The 24,199-nt window shown below is 46.1% G+C and overlaps 1 protein-coding gene across 4 annotated transcripts in view; it reads left to right on the top strand.

The window, feature by feature from the left end:
• GALNT17 (polypeptide N-acetylgalactosaminyltransferase 17) overlaps positions 1–24,199 on the top strand; it is a 581,456-nt gene that overhangs the window by 287,741 nt on the left and 269,516 nt on the right. For all 4 annotated transcript variants that reach the window (NM_022479.3, XM_011516467.4, XM_017012521.3 and 1 more), the window contains exon 5: positions 1,024–1,221. In NM_022479.3, coding sequence (NP_071924.1) covers positions 1,024–1,221 — 198 coding nt within the window. The remainder of the gene's footprint in view (positions 1–1,023; positions 1,222–24,199) is intronic.

The raw sequence follows: 24,199 nt of genomic DNA on the forward strand, positions 1-24,199 counted from the left end.
GGGTATATTTTATTGCTCATTTTAAATAGAAAGATGAGATGAGCCAACAGGTAATTCAATAGCTGCAAATGAAAAGAGATGGGTTGTCGACTGTGTGTTCTCATTATTCTTCCCGATAATGCAGAGGAATGGGATTTTCGCTTGACTCTGTTCCAAAGCCTGCATTCTGTTATAAGCTGGGAGATTAATGCCCTGGCTTAGGAGAGCCATCTTCTCCTTCTCGAATATGGGAAATGATCCCTTCCCGCGCCTGCCTCGGAGACACACGATGGTGGAGGTGTCTGGCCATCTGCTGTCTCCTAAGCCAGTCGGGCTACACCTTGAACCTGGAGCCAGATTCCTGACGAATTACCTGCTGCAGCCTCGAGCTGGGGAAGTGAGCAGGAAGCTGGGATTCTGCCTGCCTTTGCATTTAATTAGTTTCCAGTCTCCTATTGCTAACCAATTCAATTAGATCCCTTTAAGAAATCAATTAAATCATCAATTAAAACAACTGAAATAATCACACACACACACACAGAGAAGCTAGTGAAATGTGTGTTAAAACCAGGCCATCCGGGCAGAAGTGACCTATTTTGGGAAAGGGAATTCAGTGCCAGCAGAAAAAACAAGCGGTGGCAGTCAGTGCCCTGGGGGGAAACTGACGACACTGTATAAAACTGTCATGCAATGTGAATCATGGAGTCCACCGTCAGTATGAGAAGTGAGACTTGGCACTTTCTTGGGAAGGAGACCCCATGTTCTGAACTCCTCTTGCTCCAGGCTTTTCGGGCCAGAGCAGGCATCACTCTAGTGATTCCAACAAGGGGAAAGGGGTGCGCTGATTTCACACGCTTCACAGCCCAGGAGTGAAGCTGCAGGATCCAGCGTGGGCAGGTCCCTGGGAGCCTCAGTTTGCATCTGAGTTCCAGCCTTCCCAAAGCCCAGCCTTAAGTAGCTAAATGCTGTTCATTCCGTGTGGTCTTGGGAGGTGTGCCTCACGGGAGAGAAGAGAGGTTTCATGTCTATTTCTCTATGTTTCAGGGCTGAGCCGGTTCTATCCCGCATCCAGGAAAACCGGAAGCGTGTGATCCTCCCCTCCATTGACAACATCAAACAGGACAACTTTGAGGTGCAGCGGTACGAGAACTCGGCCCACGGGTACAGCTGGGAGCTGTGGTGCATGTACATCAGCCCCCCAAAAGACTGGTGGGACGCCGGAGACCCTTCTCTCCCCATCAGGTCTGTGGCTGGTGAGCCCTGGCGGCCAACGAGCCCCCAAATTCAAGGGTAAAAAGGAGCTACTGAGAGAGGCCAGGAAAGCCTGCCTTGGGCTCGAGCAGCTGTGTGCACACAGCTCTCCAGGAGCCGCCGTTGTCTCAGGATCACAGCTTTCCTGCAGAGGGAGGATGTTGCATTTTGCACCTTTATGTAAAGTTTTCAAGTGCAGCTTTCCAACAGCGATACTGAGAAGTTTCAAACTGATAGTAATGTTCACACTTCTTTATTCTTCCTCGTATAGGAGGAACTGCGTTCAGGAGCTTTTAAGGATGAAGTTTGAAAGTTATTTTTTCTGGGGCTATTTTATACTTGAAGCCTTGTACTGTTGTCATGTTTGCACTCTTTTTCATGATACAAGATCATATAGAAAAGGACAAGGGGGTGTGGCATTCTGAGGAACTGGAGGGATGTTGGGGAGCTCTTTATGGCTCTTGCCCCGGGTCCCACCCAGCTGCCTCTCGGGATATGGAGATCAATATCTTGAGGCATACCAGTTGCAGAACTCAAATAGAAAGGAGGTTGAGGCCGGGCCTGGTAGCTCATCCCTGTAATCCCAGCACTGTGGGAGGCCAAAGTGGGTGGATCACTTGAAGTCAGGAGTTCGAGATCAGCCTGGCCAACATGGCGAAACCCCTTCTCTACTAAAATTTAAAAAATTAGATGGGCGTGGTGGCAGGTGCCTGTAATCCCAGCTACTTGGGAGGCTGAGACAGGAGAATCACTTGAACCTGGGAGGTGGAGGTTGCAGTGAGCTGAGATCATGCCATTGCACTCCAGCCTGGGCAACAAGAGCAAAACTCTGTCTCGAAAAAAAAAAAAAAAAGCAAGGAGGTTGAATGAAATAGGTTGATTTCAATGCTATATTAGTTTCCTCTTGCTGCTATAACAAGTTACTATGAAAATAATGACTTGAAACAGCACAGATTGATGCTGCTACAGTTCTTGAGGTCGGAAATTTGCAATGAGCTGATGGAACTAAAATGAAGAAGGGGTTGGGTCAGGAGGGCTGGGTCAGGAGGTCTGGTCCTTCTGGGGGCTCTTGGGAGATCCATGTCCTTGCCTTTTCCAGCTTCCAGAAGCTGCCTCCTCCCTTGGCTCATGGCTATGTCGCATCTCCCTTTCTCTCTGGCACCCTTCATCACGTGACCTTTTCCTCCTTTGCTTCCTTCCTTCCCACTTATAAAGGCTTTTGTGATTACATTCTGGGACCATACAAGAATCCAGGATTATCTCCCATCTTGAGATCCTTAACTTAACAACATCTGCAAAGTTCTTTTCCTAAATAAGGGACCATTCACAAGTTCCTAATCTCTGGAACCTGTGAATGGTCCTTTATTTGGGAAAAAGTGAAATGGGAGTGTTCCCTTATCCCCTTTGCGGGGCATATGACAGGGGTGTGGCTTGCTTCTTCAGTGCCCCACTGCTCAAACCCCTAGGGGGATCATGCAGATGGGTAGGTTGCGGGGAGCATTTTGGGGCTCCGACCCCATGGCGGTCTCCAGGATTGAGTGTTTACAGCTCCCGAAGCCCCAGTGGGCATGTGTTACAGTGTGCTCTTTCATCTTTGCCATCTGCAGGGAGCTTGTGTTAATCAGCTTACTTAGACCCTCTGCCTTATCACAAGGACAGAGGGCTTTCTGTATCCTGGGTCCTTGCCCTAGTGTGTCAGAAAAACCAGATCACATGTGGGCTTAGAGAATGAGTGCAAGGTGTTCCTGAGTGGTGGAGGTAGCTCTCAATGAGATGGATGGGGAGCAGGAAGGGGGATGGAGTGGGAAGGTGGTCTTCCCCTGGAGTTGGGTTGCACAGCAGCCAGACTCTCCTTCAACTACCCCTGGCCGAACTCCCCTCAGCATCCACGTCATTCTGTTGTTGCTAGCCTGCTGGTGTCTGCTGGTGTCTGTCCATGTGTTCTGCTCCTCTCAACGTCCAGCCGCTTGTGTCTGTGCCCACTGTGGTCCCGGGTTTTTATGGGCACAGGATGGGGGACAGGGTATGGTGGGCCAAAGGGCAACTTTTTCAGTGCGAAAACAGAAATACCTGTCCTCATTTAGGTCCGTGGGCACAGGCCCGAGGGTGGAGCCCTTGCCAGGGACCCTGCCCTTCTCTACCCAGCACTTCCCTGCCCCTGTTGCATATCAAAAGGACTTTGCAGATGTGATATGGAAATCCTAATCTCTGGAACCTGTGAATGGTACCTTATTTGGGGAAAAGGGCTTGGTTGAAAACCCTCTGATCCCCGAGTTATAGTTCAGTACTTTATGTGAGTTCTACTTGAGGACCAAACTGACTCTAAAATCATGGTTCTGTCTTAAGTAGGGAGAGGCAGGAGAGGCCTGTGTACCTGGGCTCGGTTTTAGGGGTGTGCTTGTTGGTGTTAAGTAAGATAGCACGATGGAATAATGAAGTAGGGATGAAGACTTTTTACAGATAATCATGAAGTTCTTTCTCAGTTTAAACATTTGTGATTAACAAGAGTAAAAGTTTAGCCAGGCCCAGTGGCCCTCACCTGTAATCTCAGCACTTCGGGAGGCCAAGGCAGGAGGATTGCCTGAGTTCAGGAGTTTAAAACCAGCCTGGGCAACATAGCCAGACTGTGTCTCCACTGAAATAAAATTAAAAAAAAAAATTAGCCGGGGTGGTGGTGTGCTCTTGTAATCTCAGCTACCCAGGAAGCTGAGGAAGGAGGGTTGCTGGAGCCCAGGAGGTCGAGGCTGTAGTGGGCTGTGATCACTCCTCTGCACTCCAGCCTGGGCAATAGAAGGAGACCCTGTCACAAATAATAATAAAAAAAGAGTAAGCTTTTGAAAAGTTCGTTATTTTTCTGCTGACACCAAAAGCTGAAAAATAGCCTTTGAGTAGAGCATGGGCAAATTTGTACAGCAGAGAAGGTAATCTTTTGGGTCTACAACTTCCTCAAGCTGTCTTGTGGCTCAGCTCCCACACCAACTGTTCATCATGCAGTGTTTCAGGACCATATTCTTGGCTATCTGCAAATAATATTAATAGTGTAAGGTTAACTAAATCTAAGCCTTCAGGGATATTTGAGCTTTAATGGCGAGTGCTTGAAGACATGTTGACCTTCAGATCTCAAAGGGATGAAACTCAAATGATGGACTGACAGACAGTGAGTTTCATGTGTTGGCTGAAAGATACTTTCTCCCAAGTCTTCACACTGATACACGGGAGACTGGCCTCCAGCCAGGACAGATAACAGTATGAGGGTGTCACCGTAAGTGCTGTCAACAGAGAAAAAGAAGTGCTTGCAGTGGAGTGCCTTCGGATGCCCAGCAAACATCTGTAATGATTGTCTCTGGGTGTGTAAGGTTCTAAGCAAAAAGTTAGCTTGTATTTCATAAGTTACGGTAATATTAACAGATGATTAATATGCACTTTAAAAAGACTCAAGAAAGTAGAGTCATGATCATGAGTCATTAATGTGACATGCATCTCTGTTGTACAAAATAGAATCAAATGCCAATGATGTCTTTTTAATGTGTCTTAACTTACGGAATGCTTAATTTGTTAATAGTTGATGGGGATATTTAATTGCAGGGATGAATTTTTATGGTCCTTCTGAAATTATTAAGCGGATACAATATGCTTTCTTAAACATGAGGACATGGCAGTTTCTCTTTCTTGCTGTGAAGCCAACATTTTAATAGTACGATTTTGCTCCAGTAAAAGATGGGCCAAAGAAAACATTTCATCATCCAAATGGTGTTAGATTAGATGAGTCTTTAGATACTGAGACTTCCCGGTAAGCAACATAATATAGGAGATTTGCATTAAGGGAATTGATAATTCCTTCTGTTTCAGTTCTTTTCCTGTTTCTTTCTATATATTAATATTTTTTTTGTCCTGCCTGCTAAATAGCTGTTTTCTCAGGTTTTCTCTTTGTCCTCCACTTTTATTTTTCCACACCAGAGTTTCCAGTATAGCAAGTGGGCAAGTGCCATTAAAGAGGGCAAAGGCCGATTGTAAGGGTAAGAGGTGGGGGAACTGAAGAACACAGGTCCTGCCCAAGGAGGCAGCTGTTCCCAGCTCTGCTTGGTGGTGCCAGTGTGGTCAGGTCTTCAGAATTTTTTTTTTTTTTTGAGACAAAGTCTAGCTCTGTCGCCCAGGCTGAGTGCAGGGGAGCGATCTCGGCTCGCTGCAACCTCTGCCTCCCGGGTTCGAGCAATTCTTCTGCTTCAGCCTCCTGAGTATCTGCGACTACAGGTGCATGCCACCACGCCCAGCTAATTTTTTGTATTTTTAGTAGAGACAGGGTTTCACCATGTTGACCAGGCTGGTCTTGAACTCCTGACCTCGTGATCCACCCGTCTCAGCCTCCCAAAGTGCTAGGATTACAGGCGTGAGCCACTGCGCCTGGCCCAGAATTTTAAGAGAAGCCATAAATCTAGAGCCTTTGTGAAATCTCCTGCCTTCTAAATGTTGACAATAAACCTCTCTTCTTCAAAACTTCAAGGCCCCAACCACATGCGTCTAGACTGCATTTGACCACCCGGCCCCCAGAACTTGATCTTGCCTTTACACTCAACTCCTTGGAGACCTGTGTTGTTCCCAGGATAGCTTTCATTTATGCAACTTACACCGGCAGTGGGCACCTGTGGTATGTATTGTGGGTGCCATGGAGGATGTATTAGTTCTTGCCCTGCTGTAAAGAAATACCTGAGACTGGGTAATTTATAAAGAAAGGAGGTTTCATTGGCTTAGGATTCAGCAGGCTGTACTGGAAGCATGGAGGCTTCTGCGTCTGGGGAGGCCTCAGGAATCTTACAGTCATGGCAGAAGGGGAAGCAGGCACGTATTACATGGCCAGAGTAGGAGGAAGAAGAGAGAAGGAGAAGGTGCCACACACTTGTAAACAACCAGATCTCTTGAGAACTCTATCATGAGAACAGCACCAAAGGGATGGTGCTAATGCATTCATGAAGGATCCACCCTCATGATCCAATCACCTCCCACCAGGCCCCACCTCCAACACTAGGGATTACAATTCAACATGAGATTTGGGCGGGGGTGCAGAGCCAAACCACGTCAGTGGGGCTGGGGGATTTGGGGAAAGTGTCACTCAAAGCCACAGGAGCAACATGGCCAGACTTCCTTGAACTCCAGTTCAACCTGTAGAGATTCCCCTCATGTTGTATTATTGTGTGTCCACAGCCCTCTCTGCTGAGGTTCGTCTATGTAAGACTTTGTGCAGCACTGACCCAGCTCTTGCCTCTGTGTAGAGAAGCTTCTTAAATCTGCTGTCTTAAGCTCTGATTGTTCTCCAAGAGCAACTTCCTTTCTGTTAGGCGGTTCTTGAATTGCTACAAAGAAATGCCTGAGGCTGAGTAATTTATAAAGGAAAGAGGTTTCATTGGCTCACAGTTCTGCAGGCTGTACAAACCTGGCACTGGCATCTTGGCTTTTGAGGAGGCCTCATAGAGCTTTTACTCATGGCAGAAGGTGAAGTGGGAGCTGACACATCTCACGGCAAAGCAGGAAGAAGAGGCGGTGGCTCACACCTTTAATCCCAGCACTTTGGGAGGCCGAGGTGGGCTGATAACTGAGGTCAGGAGTTCAAGACCAGCCTAGCCAACATGGATAAACCCTGTCTCTACTAAAAATACAAAAATTAGCTGGGCATGGTGATGCACACCTGTAATCCCAGCTACTCGGGAGGATGAGGCAGGAGAATCACCTGAACTTGGAGGCGGAGGTTGCAGTGAGCCAAGATCATACCACCTGCACTCCAGCCTGGCTGACAGAGCAAGACTCCAGACTCCGTCTCAAAAAAAAAGATATTGGCTAGTTAGAAAGACAAGCGTGTTCTTCATAGGAAGTTATACCATCAATCCATATTAATAATGATAATATACCAATTATTATTAGATTTACCGTTTATTGAATGCATATTGAGGACTTTATATATAGCTTTTCATTTACTCTTTTTTTTTTTTTTGAGATGGAGTCTTGCTCTGTCACCCAGGCTGGAGTGCAGTGGCATGATCTTGGCTCACTGCAACCTCCACCTCCCAGGTTGAAGCGATTCTCTTGCCTCAGCCTACCAAGTAGCTGGGACTACAGGTGCGTGCCTCCACACCTGGCTTTTATTTTTATTTTAATTTTTTTTTGTATTTTTAGTAGAGACGAGGTTTTACCGTGTTAACCAGGTTGGTCTCAATCTCCTGACCTCGTGATCTGCCTGCCTCAGCCCCCTAAAGTGCTGGGATTACAGGTGTGAGCCACCACCACGCCTGGCCTCATTTACTCTTAACAGTCAGAAGCCTAGTACCAAATGATTCGGCAGTATCCTTTTTTTGTTTTCAATGTCCACACCACATTGGGGTGTAGGAAATCTGAACCTCCAGGTTGCTTTTTTGACCCCATGCAGGCAGTGACTCCCTTCAGCTGGCCTCTCCTAGGGTACTCTCGACTTCTGCCTTCTTGTTTGCCCCATGTACTCTTATTGCTGGAGTCTCCATGCTCTGGTAAGCCACTGTCCAGGGCAGTGGTCCTCAACCCCTGAGTTGCGGACCAGGGCTGGTCCTGGTCCATGGCCTTTTAGGAACTGAGCCTCACAGCAGGAGGTGAGTGGCAGGCGAGCGAGCAAGCAAAGCTTCATCTGTATTTACAGCCTCTTGCCATCTCCCACATTCCCTCCTGAGCTCGGCTTCTCATCAGATCAGCAGGGGCATTCGATTCTCATAGGAGCACAAATCCTATTGTGAATTGCGCGTGTGAAGGATGTAGGTTACGTGTTGCTTATGAGATAATCTAATGCCTGATCATCTGAGGTAGAACAGTTTCATCCTGAAACCATCCCCACCCACCACCCTTGTCCATGGAAAAATTGTCTTCCATGAAACCAGTCCCTGGTGCTGAAAAGGTTGGGGACTGCTGATCTAGAGCATCCCTTTTGGTTTTGTTTATGATGTTCTTAATCGTGGCAATATATATGTAACATAAATTTTACCATTTTATCCATTGTAAAGTGTGAAGTTCAGTGGCAATAAGAACATTCCCAGTGTTGTGCAACTATCTCCACGATCTACTTCCAGTTTTCTTATTCCCCCAAATAGCGACCCAGTGCCCATTAAGCAGTCACTTCCTATTCCTCCCTCCCACCAAACAGTGAAGGCTGCCAATCTACTTTCTGTCTCTATGGATTTGCCTATTTTGGACATTTCATATAAGTGGAGTCCTGCAGAATGTGGCTTTTTGTTTCTGGCTTCTTTTATTAGCATACAGTTTATGAGGTTCATTCATGCATCAGAAATCCATTGCTTTTCTTGGTGGACATCCCTTTTATTATTTTTTTTGAGACAGAATCTCTCCCTGTCACCCAAGCTGGAATGCAGTGGTGTGATCTTGGCTAACTGCAACCTCTGCCTCTGGGTTCAAGCAATTCTTCTGCCTCAGCTTCCCGAGTAGCTGGGACTACAGGCATGCACCACCATGCCCAGCTAATTTTTGTATTTTTAGTAGAGACGAGGTTTCACCATGTTGGCCAGGATGGTCTCGATCTCTTGACCTCGTGATCTGCCCACCTCGGCCTCCCAAAGTGCTGGGATTACAGGCATGAGCCACTGCGCCCGGCTGACATCGTTTTTAAAGTGGTTCCAAGTCCACATTCCTTCTGCAGGTTCCATATCTGGTTTCTGGGATTTGCACACCTTTGTCCCTCTTGGGTGGAAAGACGGCTTCCCTGACCAGGGCTCCCCTGTGTTCCAGAGGGCACGTTCCCTTTCGTAAGTGTGAGTCGCACACCAGTGAGCATGTGTCTCCACTTCCAGGGACACCGGCCACTAGGCTTGGGGTTAGATGGTAGGACTCTCGTCCCTCCCTTCAGGTACAGTTTGCTTCTGGGAAACCCTCCTGACACCTTCTTTTCCTGGACTCCACTTACTTATCCAAAGTATTCGGCTAATCTGTTTGTCTGTCTATTGAAATTTTTGCAAGATCTCTTTTAATACAGCATCTATTGTCAGAATGTCTTCAGCCCCAGTGTGGACACGAAGAGCCCTGTTTTAACACAGTACATACATCTGAAGGCATGGAACAGGGAGAAGGGGAAAGTCTGAAGGCAGAAAGGAAGGGGTGGGGACTGATTGGGAAAGAAAGACCCTGAAGAAGGAGGCGTGGGTGGGCTAAGGACATGAACAATGGTTTGGTCTTGAATGGTAGGAAGGGAAAGGTCATGCTGTCTGACTCACATTTTCCTTGTGAATGAGGAGAGAAAATCATTTGTTAAGAGTGAGAGCTGGGCCTCAGATAGGAGGCTACCCAAAAGGGGTAAAAGTCTGGAATCATTGCTGAAAGTTCACCAAGAACAGAAAAAATAATGGCTATTTCAAGGTGCAAAGAATATAAATTCAACAAAATTTCCACCAGGATTTCTTTTTCTTAGTTATTTATATTTTTAGAGATAAGATCTCACTCTGTTGCCCAGGCTAGAGTGCAGTGGTGAGATCATAGTTCATCATGGCCTCCAACTCCTGGGCTCAAGCGATACTCCTGCCTCAGCCTCCAGCGGAGCTGGGACCACAGGCATGTGCCACCATGCACAGGTAATTTTTAAATTTTTTCTTGAGACAGTCTCACTCTGTCTCCCAGGCTGGAGTGCAGTGGCACCATCTCAGCTCATTGCAATCTCCACCTCCTGGGTTCAAGCGATTCTCCTACTGCAGCCTCCCAAGTAGCCGGGATTACCAGTGCCCACCACCACACCCAGCTAATTGTTGTACTTTTAGTAGAGATAAGGTTTTATCATGTTGGCAAGACTGGTCTCAAACTCCTGACCTCAAGTGATCTGCCCGCCTCAGCCTTCCAGAGTGCTGGGATTACATACGTGAGCCACCGTGCCTGGCTGTAATTTTTAAAAAATGTTTGTAAAGTCAGGGGTCTTGCTATGTTGCCCAGGCTGGTCTTGATCTCCTGGCCTCAAGCAATCCTCTTCCCTTATTCTCCCAAAGCACTGGGATTATGAGCAAGAGCCACTGCACCTGACCCCACCAGGATTTCTTGACAAAAAAAACTACCATAAATTCAGTTGTGTTTTGTTATGAACTCAGATTTTGTTATTCATGACATTATGTATATATGGGGAAAAGAGTGAGGTGTAAGATAAGAATGAAGGATACCATTTATTTAGCCTGAATGCACCTAGGTTAGGTGCACCATAAGTTCATGAAAACCTGGCTTAGTTCTGCTGCCTTCAGAGAACTTTTGCTCGTAGCTTGAGAACTGCTGATCTGTACACTTCTCTCCAGCTGCAAAAGCCTGAGACTTTCACCATGAGAGGGAAGGTTCCAAAATGCCACAGATGGGACATTTTACAGCATATGTTGCTTTCAGGGCACTGGCTGAAAGCTGAGTCAGGCATCTTCTGTGAGGTGACAGTGGTTCCTCCCTGCTGTATGTTAGGTGGTCCTATAATTAGTGACATTGCTCATGAATAACTAATTAAAGGCAATGATTAACAATTTAGCAATCCTTAATCCAACATATAATTTGATAATAAATTATAAGGTATGGGTGCTGTTAGAGCCTGTTAGACTCCTTTAGTTGAAAGGGATGCCTTGGATATATAGTTGCCGGGATCTCAAATTCTGTGCACAGATATGTACAAAGGGAGAAGGTTATTTTTTCCTCCCTAAAGGAATATGACTGGCTTACAGAGGAGGAAAGCTTTAAGAGAAGAAATCAGACTTTAAAATAGAGGTATCTTTCCTATGCATCAGCAAATATATTTTAGGGGCCAATTGTGTGCTCAGCTTTGGGGTAAGCATTTCCAGCAGGGATAGTATTGGTAAATGAAATGATTATCCTGTCTTGATGGAGTTCATGGGTGGTGACACAGGCTTTCAAATGTGTGTGATAGCACTTCAGGGCAATGAAATGTGGAATCATGGGAGGGAGGGAATTTTTGCCATTGGAGTGGATGGAAAAGCTCATAGCCATAACTAACACCACAGTGTTCTATGTGTCAGGTACAGTTCTTGTATTTAGCACAATACACATCTATTCGCTCCTCATTCTCACCCTATGAGTATTTTTTTTTCTTTTCTTTTCTTTTTTTTTTTTTTTTTTTTGAGACAGAGTCTTGCCCTGTCACCCAGGCTGGGTGTAGTGGTGTGATCTCAACTCACTGCAACCTCCACCTCCCGGGTTCAAGTGATTCTCCCGCCTCAGCCTCCTGAGTAGCTGGGACTACAGGCATGCACCACCACAGCTGGCTAATTTTTGTACATTTAATAGAGATGGGTTTTGCCATGTTGGTCAGGTTGGTCTCAAACTCCTAACCTCAAGTGATACACCCTCCTCAGCCTCCCAAAGTGCTGGGATTACAGGTGGGAGCCACCGTACCTGGCCAAGATGAATATTATTATATCCTTTTTACAGGCAAAGTTGCTGAAGCATGAGTTAAGCACCTTACCCAACGTCACACACCTGGTAAGAAGTGGAGCTGGGATTCGGATGTAGTCAGGCCCAGAGTCTGTGTTCTTACCTGCTGTTCTGTCTTTCCTGGAAAAGATTTGACTAGCTGGACCTTGCCAGCTGGAGGAGATTTTTACCGGCTGAGTATATGCAAGATAACACAATGCAGGGTATAGTTCTGCAAATGAGTGTGTTTGGGGTCTTAAAGCCCACTGTCATGTTTCATGATTCACCAGGAGAACTCTCGAAACTCAGAAAAGCTGTACAATCATGGTTATTATTTGTTAATGATGAAAAGATACAGATTAAAATCAACAGGCTGGGCATGGTGGCTCACACCTATAATCCCAGCACTTTGGGAGGCCAAGGCAGGTGGATCACCTGAGGTCAGGAATTCAAGACCAGCCTGCCCAACATAGTGAAACTGTGTCTCTACTAAAAATACAAAAAGTAGCTGGGTGTGATGGTGCACACCTGTAATTCCAGCTACTCGGGAAGCTGAGGCAGGATAATCACTTGAACATGGGACGCGGAGGTTGCAGTGAGCCGAGATCACGCCATTGCACTCCAGCCTGGGCAACAGAGCAAGACTCCGTCTCAAAAAAAAAAAATCTGCAGAGATGCATGAAGAGTCCCACAGAAGTCAGTTGCAAGCTTCCACTTGTCCTCTCCCAAATGGAGTTGTATGGGTAGGGCTGATTTGCTCCGCGGTGGCACATAACAACTCATTTCAAGTCCTGCCAATCAGGAAGCTCACCTGAGCCTTGGCATCCCGGGTTTTTACTGTGGGTCAGTCACATAGGCATGGAGAGCCTTGCATGACTCTCCTTAGCTACTCAACCTCCAGCCCTTGCCCACCAGAAGTTAAACTGCAGTAGCATCGTCCAGGGCCTTGGCATGCAAAGACACTCTTATCAGGTAGGATATTCCAAGGGCTTAGAGATTGTCTCCCAGAAGCTGATCCAGGGCCAGTTCTTTCTCTGGATTGTGCGGGGTTTAGACAACCCAAGCCCACTGAGTTAACCCTTTACTACATAATGAAGATGAGTTGTTTAGTGTCTTATGAAGATACTGAAGGTGGGAAATATGCATTAAAAAACAGAAGAAAGAGGTTGAGTGCGATGGCTCTGGTCTGTAATCTTAGCACTTTGGGAGGCCAAGGCAGGAAGATCACTTGAAGCCAGGAGTTCAAGGCCAGCTTGGACAACACAGTGAGATCCCATCTGTATTTCTTTTTGTTGTTGTTGTTGTCCAGACAGAGTCTCACTCCATCACCCAGGCGGGAGTGCAGTGGCTTGATCTCGACTCACTGCAACCTCCACCTTCTGGGTTCAAGCGATTATTGTACCTCAGCTTCCTGAGTAGCTGGAATAACAGGCATGCACCACCACACCTGGCTAATTTTTTGTATTTTTAGTAGAGACAGGGTTTCACCATGTTGGCCAGGCTGGTCTCCACACCTCAGGTGATCTGCCCACCTTGGCCTCCCAAAGTGCTGGGATTACAGGAGTCAGCCACTGTGCCTGGCCCCATCTCTATTCTTTAAAAATATAAAGTAAAAATAGAGGAAAGATGGAAGACTATCCGGTCTTCATCTGGAAGTCGTCATCTTCCAGATAAAAACAGGAGGTATGCTGTATAGAGGGCTCTAAAAACCAAACAGCAGAGCCCAGACTCACCCCACTAGTCTGGTGAGTCTAACTAAAGATGAATAAAAAACCAACCAGGGGAGACAGAAAGTAGAATAGTGCTTACCCACTACTAGGGGTCACCCCCATCTGTGGAGGAGGGATGGATAGAGGAGTGACTGATAATGAAGATGGGGCTTTGGGGTAGAAGTGATGAAAATGTTCCAAAATTGGTTTTTGTGACATTGCATAACTCTATGACTATACTAAAAACCATTGGCTTGTACACAGCAAGCAGGTGAATTATGTGGTCCGTGAATTCTTTCTCAGAAGCTGATGGCTATCGGATGACCAGTCCTTCAACAAGATGAAGACAGATTGAGTATCAATTATTGGTTCACAATGGCCTGGAACGTTTCTCTCTGGTTAACCCTGAGATTTTGCCTGTCCCTTCTTTTGTCAGAGCAGCACAGAGTACAGCAGGTGATCCAATCGGGGTCAAATTTTAAACCAGCAGAACTGGTCATGGTAGAGTCCTGAGTGGGAATTTAGAAACCAAGTCTGATGGTTAATACTGGGTGTCAACTTGATTGGATTGAAGGATACAAAGTATTGTTTCTGCATGTATTTATGAGGGTATTGTCAAAGGAGATTAACATTTGAGTCACTGGACTGGGAGAGGCAGACCCACCCTCAATCTGTTTGGGCACCATCTAATCAGCTGCCAGCGTGGCTAGGATAAAAGCAGGCAGGAATGTGGAAGGACTAGATTGGCTGAGTCTTCTGGCCTCCATCTTTTTCCTGTGCCAAATGCTTCCTGCCCTTGAACATCAGACTCCAATTTCTTCAGCTTTTGGACTCTTGGGCTTACACCAGTGAATTGCCAGGGGCTCTTGGACCTTCTGCCACAGATTGAAGGCTGCACTGTCAACTTCCCTACTTTAGAGGTTTTGGGATTCAGACAGGTTTCTTTACTCCTCAGCTTGCAGACGGCTTATTGCGGGACTTCACCTTGTGATCATGTGAGTCAATTCTCCTTAATAAACTCCCCTTTATATATACATCTATCTTATGAGTCCTGTCCCTCTAGAGAACCCTCACTAATACACCAAGGAACATCCTTGGTGAAGGTTTAGCATCACACAGGACCAGACCAGCTGAGGCTGCTGACCTCCCTGGGCCTGGTAGAGAATCCTGGTCAATTGCAGTGTGTTGTGGGTAAGGTCAGGTTGAAGACTGGTACTTTTCCTTGGTCTAGCAAAGGAGAGTTCGTAAAGCAATCCAGCCAGGGGCCAAGTGAATGCTGGCACATTTCAGGAAGAGAAAAGTCACAGTGAAGAAGATAGACATTCTCCACCTTTCTTTTTTTCCCTGTCCTGCTAGTCTTCCAATAACAGAGAAATGGCCTGTTCACTTTTGCCACCCGTGGGTTCTGTGTCCTTAGGCAGATCACTCACTTGTTGTGTAAATGAGCTTTTAATTTTCTTGTCCTTAAAACTTCACCAGCATTGAAATGTCGATTGTTCCACTAGTAGAAAATTGCCGTAACAAAACTTTTGGTCCCTTAGATGAAAAGCACTAATTATAAACTCTCTGGAGTTGTGGCATGGGCTGTTGTAGATAATTAATGTTTCAGTTAATAGAATTCTACTACAGAAGCAAGACATGGAGAGATAGATGGTAAAAAACAAACAAACAAACAAAAACCCTCCACAAAATTCTGTTTGCTTTCTTCAGGGGACCAGTCTGGAGAAGGCTGGTTGACAGAGGGTGTTGCTTCCATTGAGGGAATTCACATCACACTAGAAGAGGCATTATTATAAAATATTACTCAGGAATATGGACAGATGCAGTGGGTCATGCCTATAATCCCAGCATTTTGGGAGGCTGAAGTGGGAGGATTGTTGAGACCAGGAGTTCAAGACCAGCCTGGGCATCCTAGCAAGACCCCATCTCTACAGAAAAATTTTTAAAATTAGATGGATGTGGTGGTGCGTGCCTGAAACTGCCTTTGCAAAATTATGACTGAGACGGTGAAAAAGATCTAACCTAAGTGACTCCATCTTCCTTCTAACCTTTAACCTGTCCTTGTTCCTTCTGGGTCATAGGCTGAATTAGCTTAGGGAGGAACTTAGTTTATAGTTTAAAACAAAGATGATAACAGCCCTTTCCCAAAACAAACCTCCTCTTGCCTGGGGACTAGACCGCCTTTGTAGGACTAACAAATTAGCCATAACATTAGAAATTATGGTTTAGGAGTCATGCAGCTGGAGGCTACAAGCTTCTGACCCTCCCTAAACCACTTCCTAAGATCAGTGCTTGAGATATTTTGCAGACCCTGCACTTGATGGATCAGCTGGTGCCACCCAGATCTATAAACTAGTTCATCTGATCTTCGGGCCCCCACCCAGGAACTGACTCAGCGCAAGAGGACGGCATCAATTCCCTATGATTTCATCTCCGACCCAACCAATCAACACTCTCAACTCACTGGCCTTCCCCCACCGAAGTTGCTCTAAAAAACTCTGATCCCCAGCCAGGCGCAATGGCTCACGCCTGTAATCCCAGCACTTTGGGAGGCCGAGACCGGTGGATCATGGGGTCAGGAGATCAAGATCATCCTGGCTAACACAGTGAAACCCCATCTCTACTAAAAATACAAAATAATTAGCAGGGCGTGGTGGCGGACGCCTGTAGTCCCACCTACTCGGGAGGCTGAGGCAGGAGAATGGCGTGAACCTGGGAGGTGGAGCTTGCAGTGAGCCAAGATCACGCTACTGCACTCCAGCCTGGGTTACAGAACGAGACTCCTTCTCAAAAAAAAGAAAAAAAAAAAAAACAACTCTGATCCCCGAATGCTCAGGGAGACTGATTTGAGTAATAATAAAACTCGGGTCTCCCAGACAGCTGGCTCTGGTGCGAATTACTCTTTCTCTGTTGCAATTCCCCTGTCTTGATAAATCAGCTCTGTCTAGGCAGCAGGCAAGATGAACCCACCGGGTGGTTACATGGCTGTAGTCTCGGACACTCAGGAGGCTGAGATGAGAGGATTGCTTAAGCTCAAGAGTTGGAGGCTGCAGTGAGCTGTAATCATTCCACTGCACACCAGCCTTGGCAACTGAGTGAAACCCTGTCTCTAAAAGAAAATGAAATGAAATAAAATTTAAAAATAAACTTGTTCTATGGAGGACACTCTTATTGTATGTCAGTCCTCTTTAAAAATGTATCCATGTTGGCTGGGCACGGTGACTCACGCCTGTAATCCCAGCACTTTGGGAGGCCGAGGCAGGCAGATCACGAGGTCAAGAGATTGAGACCATCCTGGCTAACATGGTGAAACTCTGTCTTTACTAAAAATACAAAAAATTAGTCAGGGATCGTGGCGGGCGCCTGTAGTCCCAGCTACTCAGGAGGCTAAGGCAGGAGAATGGTGTGAACCCGGGAGGCAGAGCTTGCAGTGAGCTGAGATCGCACCACTGCACTCCAGCCTGGGCGACAGAGCGAGACTCCATCTCAAAAAAAAAATAAAAAATAAAACAAAAATAAATGTATCCATGTTTCCACACTTTCGAGACCCCAAATGCAAACTCTGAATGAAAACAACTGCTAGAGAAACAGTGTGAGTTTGACTGTCTGTAAGATGGTCTAATGGAAGGCATATCCATTTCTCTGCGGGGGTCCATCCTGCAGACCCTGACCCAACAATGGATGAATAACGTACACTGACACAGATATTCTGCTTATCAGTCCAGCTGAGCATCTGGGCTCCTCACAGACACCAAGGAAGATGTGTGAAGAGTCAGCAGCCACATCTTCGACTCGCTGGCCCTCCCGGCATTTATTCAGCACACATTAAATGACAGAGGTCTTAAGTAAACACCACTAGAAGGTAATTACCGTTGCTGACCCCCCTGAGTAGAGAGCAATCATGCAACCACGGATGGTCAAAGGTTAGTCTTAGGACCACATGAGTAAACAAGCTATTTAGATAAACTACTCTGCATCCTTTTGTATCTGCACCCTAAGCTCTCTGGCTCCTGAAAAGAGAATCTGGCTGCCTTCAGCCAAACTACCTAAAGTTATGCAAAACTCCCCAGCCTTCCAAGATTTGCTTTTTTCTATTCCTGTGATTTTACAATTTCTCCCACCATCCTGACTGAATCCCCATATTTCTTTAAAACATTTGCTATTTGTTCAAACAATCAGCTGGGAAGAATGCCTACGAACCATCACAGTTGATCAGGTCCCTAAAGGAGCATCATGATCAACTTTATCACTTTCTGGGAAAGTAGGTACAGTTCACAAGGTGACACGGGATATCACTCCCTAGTTGGTCGGCTCTGCGTGGCCGTCCACAGCTGACTGCTGCCTTCCCACAGGGCTCAACGAATATGTAACTTCACAGATGAGGACAAGTGATTCTTCAGTGACTTCAAATGTCAGCAGCATGATGTGATAGAACATCTCCCAGGTTCTGGAGCCTGTTTCAGTTTTTGTTGTTGTTTTTGTTTGTTTGTTTTAAATTTTTTGAGACAGGGTCTCACTCTGCCACCCAGGCTAGAGTGCAGTGGTGCAATCATAGCTCACTGTAACCTTGAACTCCTAGGCTCAAGCAATCTTCCCACCTTAGTTGCCCAAGTAGCTGGGACTACAGGTGCATGCCATGCCCAGCTAATTATTTTTATTTTTTGTAGAAGTAGGGTCTTGCTATGTTGTCCAGGCTGGTCTCAAACTCCTGGTTTCAAGCATTCCTCGTGCCTTGGCCTCCCAAAGTGCTGGGATTACAGGCATGAGCCACTGCACTTGGCAAAGAGACCTGTTTTCTAAGCCAGATTTGAACCACAAATTTTGATATTCAGTTTACTTCCCTGTAAAATGGTGGATTTGGACTATGTGATATTAGTCAGGGTTCTCTAGAGGGACAGAACTAATAATATATGTATGTATGTATGTATATGGGTTTAATAAGTATTAACTCACAAGATGACAAGGTCCCACAATAGGCTGTCTGCAAGCTGGGGAGCAAGGAAGCCAGTCCAAGTTCCAAAACTGAAGAATTTGCAGTCCAATGTTTGAGGGCAGGAAGCATCCAGCATGGGAGAAAGATGCAGTCTGGGAGGCTAAGCTAGTCTAGTCATTTCACGTTTTTCTGCCTGCTTTATATTCTAGCCATGCTGGTTAGTGCCCACCCAGATTAAGGGTGAGTCTGCCTTTCCCAGCCCACTGACTCAAATGTTAGTCTCCTTTGGCAACACCTTGGCAGACACACCCAGGATCAATACTTTGCATCCTTCAATCCAATCAAGTTGACACTCAGTATTAATCATCACAGATGCATTGGATGAGATGTCTTCAGATTCTTCATCTGTAAAGGGGATAATAATAGTACTGTCTTATAGGGTTGTTGTGAAGATTAAATGAGATAATACATGTAAAATGCTTAAAACAGTCCATGGCACATAGTAAGTGCTCTAGAAATAACAGCTGTTCTTGCTATCAATATTATTAGAGCAATTCTCTATTCTACAATGCTCCTCACTTTGGGAATATTATAATAGCCCTTTTCTTTTTATTTGGTCTAGGTCATACAACCAAATAGTTATAACAAATAACCTGATCATTGGATTATCACTAATTTATGTCCTACACATGACAGACTCTGGTCGCTAATAAAAGATAGACTTTTTTTTTTTTTTTTGGAGACAAGGTCTTGTTTTGTGGCCCAGGCTGGAGTGCAGTGATGTGATCATAGCTCACTGTAGCCTTGACCTCCCAGGCTCAAGGGATCCTCCCACCTCAGCCTCCCATGTAGCTGGGACCACAGGCATGCACCACCACCATGCCTGGCTAATTTTTTAAAATTGTTTGTAGAGATGAGTCTTGCTATGTTGCCCTGGCTGGCCTCAAACTCCTGGCCTCAAGTGATCCTCCCACCTCGGCCTCCCAAAGTGCTGGGATTACTTTGCCAGGGGTGAACCACTGCGCCCAGCCAGGCCAGGAGAGACATTTTAAATGCCAAGGGATTTGCACAGAAAAGAAGGGACTCATGTTCTTGAAGCCACTCTCTTCAGAAAGCTATTCCTTATGAAATGGGAGTGCACTTACAGAATGGTGAACACCTTGCTTTTGGGTGAAATACATGCTATTTCTTGACATCACCTAGGTACCTTCTGCACCAGCCTGGGTAGATCAATATTTCTTTTTGCGTGACACGCTGATATTGCTGCTAGATAGCTTTCCTTTGGAAGCAAAATTCCCAGGCAGTGCCCTAGAGCTGGAGCAACATTAGCAACGTAAACTTTCTCTGCGATGACAAGCAGAGAGGCCTGCCTCCATCAACCGACATGCACTGTGACAGCTCCCAGCGGCAGGTAGATTAATCTGAATAATGTCAGAATGACTTTTCTCCTCCCTTGTAAAGAGGTTCAGTGTTGCGGGCTGCCAAGGAGCAGACACATTTTATTTTAAATTTAAGGATTTTTAAAAATGGAGGACACTTTACCTCTGAATTAAATGCTCAGTTCCTGAGTTATTGCTGGACATAAATAGGGAAGCAGCCATCCCATTAATTTTATGGAGCTGATCTGTGGGGAGAGAGTAATAGGCTTCATATTCTCCTTCTGTTGGTGCTAGATGTAGACTATAGTGAGGGGTGGAAAGGGGTAGGCTCCAGCTCTTATTTTGGTAGCTTTAATCCCCCTTTCTAGATGGTTCCAGAGTGTTTCATCTTCCAGGCCCTCTTTTTTTTTTTTTTTTTTTTGAGACAGAATTTCACTCTGTCACCCAGGCTGGAATACAGTGGCACAATCTTGGCTCATTGCAGCCTCGCTTCCTGGGTTCAAGCAATTTTCCTGCCTTAGCCTCCCGAGCATGCGCCACCACGCCTGGCTAATTTTTCGTATTTTTAGTAGGGGCAGGATTTCACCATGTTGGCCAGACTGGTCTCGAACTCCTGACCTCGAGTGATCCATCTTTTCAGGCCCTCTTACATATCTTTCTTCTTCTGCCCTTTCTTTTTATTCCTTTTTCCACTGTATCCTGAAAGGCTGAAAAGTAACTGCAGAAGACTCTGAAATTCAGTTCAGGGCAGAAAATAACCTTTCTTCCTTGCTCCCCCACGACCTCTGATGGTTTTTTTCTACAGCACAGTTCAGAACTCTTTCTTTCTTAATTTTTTTTTTTTTTTTTTGAGATGGAGTTTCCCTCTGTTGCCCAGGCTAGAGTGCAATGGCACGATCTCAGCTCACTGCGACCTCCGAATCCTGGGTTCAACCAATTCTCCTGCCTCAGCCTCCCAAGTAGCTGGGATTACAGGCATGTGCCACCATGCGCGGTTAACTTTGTATTTTTAGTAGAGATGGGGTTTCACCATGTTGGTCAGGCTGGTCTTGAACTCCCGACCTCAGGTAATCTGCCCACCTCGGCCTCCCAAAGTGCTGGGATTACAGGTGTGAGCCACCGCGCCTGGCCAGTTCAGAACTGTTTTCTTGTCTCCTGGCCCTTCTGGTCCTCCACGAATTATTATTTCTTAGTTGTTTCCAGGGGGTCCTTTAGAAAAGAAAACGAAGATTATCACTTGTTCTCAAACCCAAACAGCCTTTTTTGTTTACCTAGTCTCTCCAGTAGCACTTGCTGGAGTTTTCATCCTCCGAGGTGTGGCAATGAGTAACTTCTCATCAGGCCTTACCAGTCATGCAAGGTGTGTTACGTTTGAGGCCATCCATTTCTCCTCTTGTTTATGGAAATACAGGAACATATGACTATTTCATGTCTTGTGCGTTGGAGAGAAAGCATATCAGTTTTTTTGTTGTTGTTCTTTTTTTTTTGGTTTTTTTTTGGAGATGGATTCTTGCTCTTCCGCCAGGCTGCAGTGCAGTGGCGCGATCTTGGCTCACTGCAACCTCCGCCTCCTGGGTTCAAGTTGTTCTCCTGCCTCAGCCTCACAAGTAGCTGGGACTATAGGCGCCCGCCACCACGCCCGGCTGATTTTTGTATTTTTAGTAGAGACAGGGTTTCATCATGTTGGCCAGTCTGATCTCTATCTCTTGACCTCGTAATCCACCCACCTTGGCCTCCCATACCAAATTTTATTTGAGATTGGGAAGTCAATCATGAGTACCGATATCAGAGCCTGCAGAGCCTTCTCTTCCAACCAATGAACTATCTGCAGTACAGCATACACAAATGACCATTTGTGGTTAACCACCCGGACACCATTTCCATTTTTCATCCTGTTGACCCTCCACAGTTTTTTTTCTTTTTCTTTTTCTTTTTTTAATTTTACTTTAAGTTCTGGGATACATTTGCAGAACGTGCAGGTTTGTTAACACAGGTATACATGTGCCATGGTGGTTTGCTGCACCTATCAACCGGTCATCTAGGTTTTAAGCCCTGCATGCATTAGGTATTTGTCCTAATGCTCTCCCTCCCTTCGCCCCTCACCTACTGACATGTCCCCGTGTGTGATGTTCCCCTCCCTGTGTCCATGTGTTCTCATTGGTCAACTCCCACTTATGAGTGAGAACATGCAGTGTTTGGTTTTCTGTTCCTGTGTTTGCTGAGAAGCATGGTTTCCAGCTACATCCATGTCCCTGCAAAGGACATGAACTCATTCTTTTTAATGGCTGCATAGTATTCCATGGTGTGTATGTGCCACATTTTCTTTATCCAGTTTATCATTGATGGGCATTTGGGTTGGTTCCAAGTCTTTGCTATTGTAAATAGTGCTGCAATAAACGTATGTGTGTGTGTGTGTCTTTATAGTAGAATGATGTATAATCCTTTGGGTATATGCCCAGTAATGGGATTGCTGGGTCAAATGGTATTTCTGGTTCTAGATCCTGGAGGAATCGCCACACTGTCTTCCACAATGGTTGAACTGATTTACAGTCCCACCAACAATGTAAAAGTGTTCCTATTTCTCCCCAACCTCATCAGCAAGTTATTTTTTTGACTTTTTCATAATAGCCATTCAAGCCTGCAGAAGTGTTTTTTTTGTTTTGTTTTGTTTTGAGATGGAGTCTCACTCTGTCACCCAGGCTGGAGTGCAATGGCCCGATCTCAGCTCACTGCAAGCTCTGCCTGCCGGGTTTACGCCATTCTCCTGCCTCAGCCTCCTGAGTAGCTGGGACTACGGGCGCCCGCCACCATGCCCGGCTAATTTTTTTGTATTTTTTTAGTAGAGATGGGGTTTCACCGTGTTAGCCAGGATGGTCTCAATCTCCTGACCTCATGATCTGCCTGCCTCGGCCTCCCAAAGTGCTGGGATTACAGGCGTGAGCCACCGGCCTGCAGAAGTTTTAAGCAGACTTTCCCAAAGTCTGAAAATTGGGTTGGTACTTTGCAATATCTTTTTGGAGTGTTGGGTCACAGTCTTTCCTTTTTTGGCTGCCAACATGACTCTAAAAATAGCTTCTGCTACCAGGCACGCAGAGAGTCAGGGGTAATTGACTTCATTTTCTTCCGGAAGTGTAGGCTCCTGTGTCATTAAGTCATTCTGGTAGTACATCCTTACAGCAGCAGAGAGGTTGCAACAAGCTTGCTTAACTGTTGTGAATAACATAACTACCAGTCACGCTTGATAAAGCAGTGGCCCCTTCAAAGCCCTCCGAAAACAGGCAGTGTGTGAGACCCGGGAGAGCTGGCCTGCATGGGAGGTCCTTTATACACTTGGTAGGATGCCCCAGTCAGTATTTTGGAGTTTAACTTCCGTGCATGAAGTTCAATGGACTCCCAGGCTCTTAAGAACTTCAACTTAAAGGAAAGAGGAGAGAAATGTTTCTTGAGTGTCTTTTATGAACATTGAATTTCCGACTGTGGTTTCTGTGGCGGCTGCAGGAGGTTTCAGCTGGTGGCATGAGCCCTTCCCATGCTATAAGCAACTCTGAAGTTTCAGTTGCATGGACAGGGTCTGAGAATGACTCAGGGCAGGTTACAGCTCTTCATTTTCGAGGTCAGCTTCGTCGCCAATTCAAATTCAGGTTATTCTAGTTGAATACTGGGTCTCTGCAACTTCTCAGTTCTTTGCCTCCTGCCCCATTCCTTCTCTAGGATGGCTTCTGGGTACGTGGGGAGAGGGAGGGTTTATTTTGTGATCAAGGGGAAGCATGACGGTCTTTACACGCACTGTTTCTCTGTAGAGTTAGGATATTTGTCGCTTCCGAATCTCATGCTGAAATTTGATCCGCAGTGTTGGAGGTGGGCCTGGAGGGAGGTGTTTGGGTCATGGGGACAGACCCCTCATGAATGGCTTGGTGCCCTCCTCCTGGTAATAAGTGAGTTCTTGCTCTATTAGTTCATCTTAGAGCTGGTTGTTTAAAAGAGCATGGCACTTTCCTTCTCTCTCTCCTGCTCCCCTTATTTCTCCACGTGATGCCTGCCCCATCCTCCACCTTCTGCCATGAGTGGAAGCTGCCTCAGGCCCTCACCAGGAGCAGATACTGATGCCATGCTTCTTGTACAGCTTGCAAAACCATGAGCCAGATAAACCTCTATTCTTCATAAATTACCTAGTCTGAGGTGTTCCTTTTTTTTTTTTTGAGATAGAGTTTCGCTCTTGTTGCCCAGGCTGGAGTGCAGTGGCATGATCTTGGCTCACTGCAACCTCCACCTCCTGCGTTGAAGTCATTCTTCTGCCTCAGCTTCCCGAGTGGCTGGGACTACAGGCGCCTGCCACCACCCCTCGCTAATTGTTTTGTATTTTCAGTAGAGACGGGGTTTCACCATGTTGGCCAGGCTGGTCTCGAACTTTTGACCTCGGGTGATCTGCCCGCCTTGGCCTCCCAAAGTGCTGGAATTACAGGTGTGAGGCACCCCGCTCGGCCTGAATTGTTCCTTTATAGCAACACAAAATGGACTAAGACATCCTCTTGCCCTCTGGG

This window comes from Homo sapiens, chromosome 7 (genome assembly GCF_000001405.40).
Source record: "Homo sapiens chromosome 7, GRCh38.p14 Primary Assembly".
Lineage (NCBI taxonomy): Eukaryota > Metazoa > Chordata > Mammalia > Primates > Hominidae > Homo > Homo sapiens.